Below are 9742 nucleotides of genomic sequence, written 5' to 3'. Positions count from 1 at the left end.
ACATAATTAAGAGGTTGCACCATGTTAAGAAGATAAAAGTCACGTGAGCATTTCTCACATTTAGCTCTAAAGGACAACAAACCTGACTGGCTGGGAGCCAGAGAAGGCTGACAGCAGGAACTGACCTCTCAAGGCTGTTTGTGGAGGAAGGGGGGTGGTTACATAGCATTCTATGGGCCAGGTCACTAATCTCACCTTCTCCCAGACTGCTTTCTCCAGACTACACAATCCTAAGAAGTGAGGTCACTGACTGAAACAGGCTCACCCTAGAGAAAAGTCAACCCACACAATCTTTCTAAACCCTGGTTCATGTAGAATTGTTTTCATAGCTGCAGAGAAGATTGGCAAAAAATAATATTTTGACCAAAGTGTAGAAAACTTGATCAAATAATTCTGTTTCCACATTGTTTTATTATAAAAATAAGGCCACATACATTGCAATCAACTTGTCATAATTACCTGAGATTTGTTCATGCAGCAGTTCAAATGTTCAACTTTGCCATGAGCAATTGCTTAATATATACCAGAGTTGTTAGAAGATTATTTTAGGTGGGTGCTCATTTCCCATCATTTATTTTTCTTTGCCATAAAATACTTTTTCTGCCTTTATTGTGACTGAATCTTCTGAAAAGTGGGCTGAGAAGAACATCATGTATATTGAAATATTCTTGAGTAAAAAGATTTCTTATTCCAACTTGATTCAGAGATAAAAGCACCCCATGCTTTGGAATAGTTTGTATTTTTAAAGAATCCCAACTATAAACAAATAATTGTATTTTATTTTGAAGTAGGGTGGAAATTTTAAATACTGAAGTGATTGTCTGGAATACATAAAAATGTACATGTGAGTTATGGTAACTAGGAGCCAAGTTTGTATTCATCATCAGCATCATTGAGGGGAGTTATTTATTTTCTCCATATAAGTAACTTAAAAGACACAGCAGTTACAACTCCCCAGGTTAATGTGGCACCTAGGAATTCATGTAATCATGTGCGGATTTTAAAATTCAAAAGTGTTTAAAATTGTTTTATTAATATACCATAGATATTTACAGGATTTTAATAATATACTTTTTTTTTTCTTTGCAAACAAGTCTGTATTAAGAACGCATCTTGTGTCAGAGGCTGGAGAGCATATATACAGAATGATTTGCTTTCAAAAAACTCTCAAAGATTTATGGTTTTATTCATCAGATAAGTGGCTGAATAGCAAAACAGTGAAAAATCACAATGACAATGGAAAGAAAATGGGTGCTAGGTTCTAAGAATTGAATTCCTCTGGAACTCAAACCTGCAAAATATAAAAATAAGACAAAAATATTTTGAGATAAAGTATTGCCTGTTAGATTAATTTTTCAAAACCCCAATTTCATACTATCATTTCTCTTCTAGTAACATATTTTATTATACTTGTCTCATTCACATTATATTTAATTTTAGAAAGTGCCTTACCGTGTCTTTGTCCAAGGACATCTGATTTAAGTATAAAAATGCAAAAGGAAAATCCCTAAATTGGCAAAGTCTGCCTAAAGGATTGGCCAACATTGGATGCTAATGACTTGCACTCAATCACAGCTTCAGGCAGATGAGTAAGTGATTTTTCTAATGCAAAAATGATACATTATTATTGCCTGCTAACTCTGACTGACTGGTGTTGGTTGGCTTAGAAAATTGTTTTGAGGAGGACTTGAAAGTTGTGACTCAGCTCCTTATGAAAGCCACACTTGATTAGTGATGTCTGCCATGAACATGGGAAAGGGTGTATATTTACCTGTGCTTCATATTTGCCATTCCTGTTGTAAAAGACCCGAAAGAATCTATGAAAAATCTTTCTGATTTTTGTGATAATAGAATGAGTGATACAATTATGCTCTAATGACACAAAGATTTTTTTTCCTGTTCTCTTTTTGGTTTTCAAATGAGGAAGCATAAAACCATTTATAGTGTATGTTATAATTTTGGAGAATAACTTAAAAAAATGGCTCATCACCTTTTGCTCACAATTGAAAATTTATCTTATCACCCAACATTTAAGCCATAACTGGAAGGTTTCATGGAGCTGAATTTCATGCTGCAGCTGTCTAGGTTCAGAATCTACTACAGCAATGGTGACTCAACTTACTTGACATTTTTGGAATCCTAATTTCCTCACTGCTGCTTCCATCTCCACCATCACTGACTGTTCTTATTTCAATTAAGTAGTCTTCTTCAAATGGAACCAGAAGCTCAGCTGATGTATTGTTTGTTTCCAAAATATGAGTTTTACTCTGTCTGTTTTGCCGGTACAGAATCTGAATAAAATGAGGTATCAAGTTAACATGGACATGTTGCTTTTCTAAGGTTCACACAACTGTTCTGGAACACTGTAAGACATAAGATACATCATCATAAATGTTGTACTCCTCAGATGGAAATATCCAAGTGATGTCTTTTCCTTATATTCCATTGCTCCTGTTAAGAAAAAGAGGTGTTTTTTTTTTTGGCCAATGCCTCTGGAAGGAGAGTAGATTTATCCCTATTAGTTAAATAGCTTGAGGCTATTATCATTGGAGCTTGCTGTGGAAAGTCACTGTTGAGTTTGGACCCATTTCAAATGTTGAATATATGTCTGCCAAGAGATGATGTCCATTGTCACTGATGGAAATGAGTTGCTCTGGGTACTTGATTGTACTCTTGTTAGATGCCTTTTATGTTGTTAAAAGATCACATCATACTGCAGCCTAAGTTCTAAAATCTCTATTTAGATATATTTTTTGATCTCATTGTCATCACATCTACTATGCACATAAGCCATCATCTTATGATAGCAAGGGATGCCACTTGAAGAAAAAATGTTACATCCTATGGAATTTGATTTATTGATGTTCCCTAATACATTACTGGACCTTGGAATGTAAAACATTTTCAATGGAAAATTAGAAAGCAGCAATGGTATTTTCAAAATAATTTTGAAAAAGATTCCAGTGTTTCCATATGCATCCAATTTGTTTTCCATTTGGGTGTCACATGTTTCATTCCTTAGTAACTTAATTGATATGATTAAAGGAAAAACTAAAAACTCACCTTGTACCCCAAAACTTCAGACTCATTTTCCATGGTTTTTACATGCTCCCAGTTCAAGCATAATTTAGAGTTTGTCAGCTTCCAGGCAATGTTTGCTGGTGGTTGGCTTGGAGCTTTAAAGAGATAATCAAAGATCCAAATGAATGTTAATTAGCTCATGGTCAAAGTATGATGCATCAACATGAAAAGAAAAAATAAGTCTTCGATGATTTGCATAGAAGGAGCTAAAATGTCTTCAGTGTCATTTGAAATATATTAATTCTAATCACAGTAAGCAAATTTATTCAAATCTGGTCATTTGGGAATGCCTTTGTGACAGACTTATGAATTAATAATGGCTTGCTGCATGTCCAGTATTAATTTATTAATCATTGCTGTTGAGTTTGTTTACTTTATCATATATAAACAGACAGAGGGTCTCTTTATCTAGGATTCCATTTGGCCATCAATCAATGAGCATGTTTGGCAAATTCAAGTTGCAAACATTTTATATATATCAACACATAGATGTTCATTCCTAAAATTCTTTACTTTTTAACATTGTATTAGTTAGCTTTCTAACTGTAACACAACTAACTCAAGATATTTTAAGCAAAATATTTGTAGTAAATTATCAAGGATATTTCTTATAAGTCATGGCAGATTGCAGCAGAGTCTGAGGAGAGAAAAAAATGTCACAAAGCCACAGTCTTCACTCTGCTTATTGAAGCAGGGTCTGCTGTATACTCATCTTGCCAGAGAGTACCTCTTTGTCATTCTCACTGCACACGGCAGAAATCATGACTGTTCACCACACCTGAAACTTAAAACCTCCTCTGTTCAGAGATAGTCCAAGTTTGAGTTCCCCTGAGAAAGCTGATGATTGACTTCATTTGGTCGTATGTCTATCTTAGCTTAATCAACTGTGTCTGGACAATGTGAAAGATGCATGCCGTTTAAAATAAATGGAGCTTTTGGGAAGCCAGAAAAGGGGAAAATCATCACAAACTGATTGATCATCCCAAAGGACATCAACTTTAAATCCAAACTGCGACTTTTAGTTTTCTGAAATTAATGTTGTCTGCGTGAGAGATGGTGGGAGATAAGAGATGAAAGATTTAGAATCTGGCTTCTAAAGTAATGGATATAGTCCAACTAGAGAATTTTACATACAAGAAAACGAGAATCCAGGTTGGGAAGTCACTTATCCAAAAGCATGCAGCTGACGAATCTTGGTCTAGCGCTTTCAGTCTAGTGTTTCTGCAGAACAACTTGCTGCTTATCTGAGTCCACATGACTATTTTTGAGATTGAAACTGGAGAGATATAAAATAATTCATCTGGAAAGTGGAAGTAAAGATAAAACTGCCCAACAAGATGTTTTTGGCATCTCTTTTGAATTTGTGAGGCTGAGTGAGCATAATATTTAATTCATTATAACACTGGTAGAAGTGGAAACTATTTCTTTCATAGTTTTGAGTCAACTGCTGTTTAATCTCCTGTGTGTCACTGGAAGATTCACATATTGCTGAATCCAGGTGTCTCAAATATATTACCATACATTCTCTTTCCACCCCACTTCCACTGGGATATCACTATTGTTCACTCAATCACTTACAGTCCAGTTGGGATGTGATAGAGAAATGTTTCCCTGTATGCTTACATGAGGCTTAGTTCATATTTTATTATAGGTTTATCACATTGGTTTACATTTATTCTTGGTTATGTGTTTGTTTAAATTTCTTGAGGGCAAGTGCCTTACTCAACTCTGTATTACTAACCCCTAGCACAGTGCCTGGCACATAGGAGACATCCAATTCATACACGTTGAATAAATGACTGTACAATAAGGTGGCTAAGGAAAACTGTTCAGGGCCCTGTGGTGATCTTCTCAGGCTGTATTGATTATGCACTGGGCTCTGGGCAGATCCATAGGTGACACAATACAGCCAATCCATTCATTATGTTGTCCTATGATCAAGACCAATTGCCGTGGTCAGACTCATAGCAATCCATACCTATTTATAAGATGGACAGGCCAATTGGATTGACCATGTCCTGGTACATTTCTTGACAATATAAACCCATAATTAAAGGCCTGAAAGCTTTTAGCTTACTAAGCATCCATTACTTTGCTTGTCAATGTACAACGTACTTGTCATTTATAATGCTTATCAACATATTTATTTCTAAAGGTCTGAATGGCAGCAAGAATTATTTTGTAACTATCCTTCCTCAACTTATCCTCCAGTGCCTTTTAAAATCTTTTTCTCAGCTATAAAAGATATAATATCAAAATTCTCACAGGATATTGCAATTTTAATATCTAGTCTACTCTTGATACCTTTCTTTTTATCTCTGTTCTTTAAAATTCAGCACTAACATTACCATTATATAATCAATACAGAGAAAATACAAATTCACCACTTCAGTGTCATTGGCAGTGTGGATTCTGAATGTTTTATGTATTTCCGGATGTTTTGTTTGTTTTAGGAAAAAGTATTGTTTTCAACACTATAAATCCATTGAAAAAATCAACTGGCTAGGAGACAGAATTGATTTCTTCCAGCTATGTAAAGGAGCAGTTTGCAATGTTGGCAATGACTTTGTCATTGACATGTTTGCATTTGTGTCCTCATCTACCAAAGCAGAAGCACAACTTTCTGTGGGCATAAAACGAGAAGAGTTGCATTCGGAGTGAGTACCTTGGTATGAATAGCCAATTATACAGATTATTTAGAATGTTTTACTTCTCTTGCTCTCTGGGAGATGAGAAGAGTTGGGCTTTGATGTCAGAGAGACTTGAATTTGTATCCAATCTCTTCCAAGAGCCGGATTTTCCCATTATAAAATGAAACGAATAACTCCTAATTTATGAGATATGAAATAAAATATGAAATATTCCTCATTTGGTTAGTGGTATATATTAAAAAGCCCTGTAACTGTTAATTCTCTTCCAAGAGTAGCAGTTCTCCACTGTGGTGTTATGACATAATCAATTTTTCAGTTGTGTTCGAAGTGGTTTGTTGCTAATAATCCAACTCTGAAGTTTGCAAATGATTCACTTCTTAGATACAATTAGTGTACATTCAAGTTTTCCCCTTAATAATATTGCTCTTACTTGGATGCTTGATATGTTTTTAGAAAGGGAGATAAAATGGGAGAGTCTCAGCTAATTATCTTAGAATATCTCTTAGTCTACATCCTTTCTTATTTTTATCAATGGATGTTTCTCCAGTGTCAATCCTTTATGTCTGATATTGACAAATAAAACTTCTGAAAGCTGCTTTAGAAGGCCATCACCTTAATGTGAGTACTGTTAACAGTTCTGGTTTGATATAGTTGATTAAACTGGATTGCAAATATCTATGATAAAATTAAAATTTCTATCATCTTGAGAAACCAAAACACTGCCACATGGATAGCACAAAACACATGTCATGATATTTGTACCAAGTCTGTCAATGGTAAACTCAGCAAACAAGCACTTTTCTAACTTTTAAAATCTTTCCAGGCAATTTCCAAAGACTAAATCATTTTCTATTAATCAAATGACAGAGCAACATTAAACTAGCCCCTCAGAATTCTAATGGTTTCCCTGTAATCAATTTTTCTGTAGATGGCATTTCTTTTCAACTGTAGTTCACACTGTGAACTCAATTCAAAAACAACTTCTTATGTTACACCTCTAAGTAACAGCATGGGGTTGACATTTGGGCAGAAGAGAAAGAACATAAGTGCAAGATAAAATAAAAGCTTAATGCTTCCTTTATGTTTAAATATGGATTGATTGCATATTTGCAGCAAGAAAGAATCGAGTACAAAGTGCTAGTCAGTCAACGTCAAGGGCCAAATTGAGCCAACATTTGCAAACACTTTTAGTTATTGCGTCTGAATACTTCTTTCCACATAAGTAGTGTTTTGTTTGTTTCACTTTTCTTTTCTGCTTGGAATTGACATAAATATTTTTCTTTCTTTCCTTGTAAATCTAAATTCCATTTAAGTAATGTCTGTGTGGATCACAGTATATTTGCAGTACCTCTGTTTCTTTTGGAAATCCATCATTTCCACTAGGCTTTGGTACTTGCAGATGAATCACTGATATTTGTTTAATAATACTAGTATCATCATCATCAACAGCAACAATAATACTTAAGAAGTTTGGCATATGCTGTTCCTTCTGTCTGGAAGTTCTTTTGTCCTTTAACTCCTCTTTATCTTTAATTTTGTATCAAAATACATAGCCTATCCCATATAGATGCTCCTTATGTACATCTTAGTTTCTCATTTATTTTCTTCACTGTTCTTTTCATAATTTATGATTATTTTATTCATTTGTCTTTTTTTCTTGTTTTAGGTTGCCTCTTCTCTAAAAGAGAAATTGCCGGTTGGCAAAGATCTTGCTTGGTTTAATTGCTCTTAGGCCCTCAGCATCTAACTCTAGGCATGGCTCATGGGAGGCACTATCTCTTGAGTAGATGACTGGATGATCATGTGAGAAAACAAACAAACAAAGAAAATACCTCTGTCTTCTCTTTAGCTTAGCCAATTAGAACAGGCAGAGATTTTGGTAAATGTGAGCTCTGCTTTTTCAGACTTTCCAATGGAAGATCAAATATCAGATTACAAATCTAGACAGTGACAGTGCTGAATGCAGAATTTTTTCAGTCACCACTATTGAGAGGTAATCTTGATGTCATCTCAAGGACATGGAGAGTCAAAGTTACATACAGGAATAGCACCTGGAATCATGGTTATCATCAATGTTTCAGTAAAGCTGTTTTTCATGCATGCTTTGGATGTCCTTCTACGACCCTTAAAGAAAAGAAAATTCTGCAACAAACTTATAAAGTGAAAGAAAGTAGCTGTGGTTTCTTACTTTAAAAAATGCAAAGAAAGTAAATTGCCTCTAAAGGAGGAGTATAATAACACATGTTACCAGGCACTGAGCCTTGATGTATGACAGCCTCTGGGTCACCTTGGTGTACATTATATCCTTTGGTTCTCAGAGAAATCGCTAGAGGTAAGTATCTTCATCTCTATTTTTCAGATGAGAAAATGCATTCAGAGTTATCAAATAATTAGATCTGGCACACAGATAGTACATGGCTGAGCAGGGATCCATATCCACAATTCTCTCTGAAGTCCCATTCCAACTTTTTCCAACACTGTTTCACAATGGGCCAAAGTTATTGGAATTCTTAGAAAAACGCAAATACATTAAAGGGGAAATTTTGGGGGAAGCTATAGAGCAGAAAAAAGACCATTTGACCATATATAGGCCTGGCAGGGGTACTACAAGCTGAGAGATTTCATGAAGCCAGGTAAGTGAATGTTAAACTTTAGAAGATCAGTAAGTTTGAGATGTCAGGGCTAGAAGAGGAATGTTATAGAAAGGAGCTTTGAGACACATTGTGAAAGATCTTGCTTGCCTTTTTCTTAGTCTACATTCTCTGGAATAGAGGAGACAATGACATTTGATGAAGAGAAGAGAAGTATGACGGCATTTTAGGAGGAAAAATTTCAAAGCAGTTTGAGGTTTAGATGGAGGATTTGACAGTCAGGGAGAGAAATTATTGGGATGGTTAGGGAGGAAGGTGATAAAGGAGCACAGTGGTAGTGGGATGAAGAGATTTCATGCTCATCAGTCTAACAGAGGCCATGACAAAACCTTTCTAAGCATTTGTGTCCTCCTATCTAGAAATTAAAATACCAAACTCCTTGACTTATTGTAATAATTAAGTGAGATTTAGTATGATAAAGTTAATACAGGGCTGGGGACATAGAAGTGCTCAATAATTTGAAACTGTGGTAAGCAAAATAAGGATCCCCCAAAACATGATCACATCCTAATCTCCAGTACCTGTGGACACATTACTTTATATGGAAAAGGAGTTTGCAAATGTGATTAAGAGTCTGGAGATGAGGAAATAATCTTGGATGATTCAGGTGGCTCCAATGTCATCAGGAGGGTCCGTACAAGGGAAAGAGGGAAGCAAGAAAGTGAGAGTTAGAGGAGTTGTGATGACAGAAGCAGAGGGTCAGAGGCAGAGATGTGAAGGTACCCTACTGTTGCTGGCATTGAACATGGAGGAAGGGGTCACAAACCTAAGGAGGGTCACAAGCCAGGGATATGGGTGGTCTCCAAAAGCCAGAAAACAGGAAACAAATTATCCTTTGGAGCTTCCAAAGCTAGTGCAGCCCTTGAGCACATCTGGATTTCTACCCAGTGAAACCCCTGTCTAACTCCTGACCTCCAAAAATGTGTGATAAGCAACTTATATTGTTTTAAAACACTGAGTTTAAGGCCATTAATAGAATAATAGAAAAGTTACTCTTCTGCTTTCACAATGTCTGTGATGTAGAATGTCAAAGTAATAAAATGAGAGGTTGGATAGGTATTTAAATGCAAAGGGATGGAGACTTGTATATTCTTCTTATTCTCAGGTGCTTGTTGGCTATTTTTATAGGGTCACTGAAGCATACAGGCTGGTAAGAGTCAAATTTAAGAGCTATTGAAACTAGATATCTAGGAATTACAGAGGTTTTTCTTGTTTGATTTAGTTAAGAAAGCTGAATACTTAAAGGAACGCTAATCTTCAGTTTAGAATTTCTGATTATTATTTCACTTTTTCCTTAGCAGAGGTATTCTAACGTTGTGTCTTGGGTGAAATTACTCATGGTTAATTTAACTGTTTTCG

At 35.5% G+C, this 9742-nt stretch overlaps 1 protein-coding gene across 21 annotated transcripts in view; it reads right to left on the bottom strand.

Annotated features, from left to right (window-relative positions):
* The window catches only part of CNTN6 (contactin 6), a 311194-nt gene continuing 301843 nt past the window's right edge, over positions 392-9742 (bottom strand). For all 21 annotated transcript variants that reach the window (XM_011533590.3, NM_001349351.2, NM_001349354.2 and 18 more), the window contains 3 exons: positions 3064-3176; positions 2123-2291; positions 392-1291 (listed from right to left, as the gene is read on the bottom strand). In XM_011533590.3, the coding sequence (XP_011531892.1) occupies positions 1191-1291; positions 2123-2291; positions 3064-3176 (383 nt within the window). In that variant the 3' untranslated portion in view covers positions 392-1190. The remainder of the gene's footprint in view (positions 1292-2122; positions 2292-3063; positions 3177-9742) is intronic.

This window comes from Homo sapiens, chromosome 3 (assembly GCF_000001405.40).
Source record: "Homo sapiens chromosome 3, GRCh38.p14 Primary Assembly".
Lineage (NCBI taxonomy): Eukaryota > Metazoa > Chordata > Mammalia > Primates > Hominidae > Homo > Homo sapiens.
This window is presented reverse-complemented; position numbering and strand designations above follow the sequence as displayed.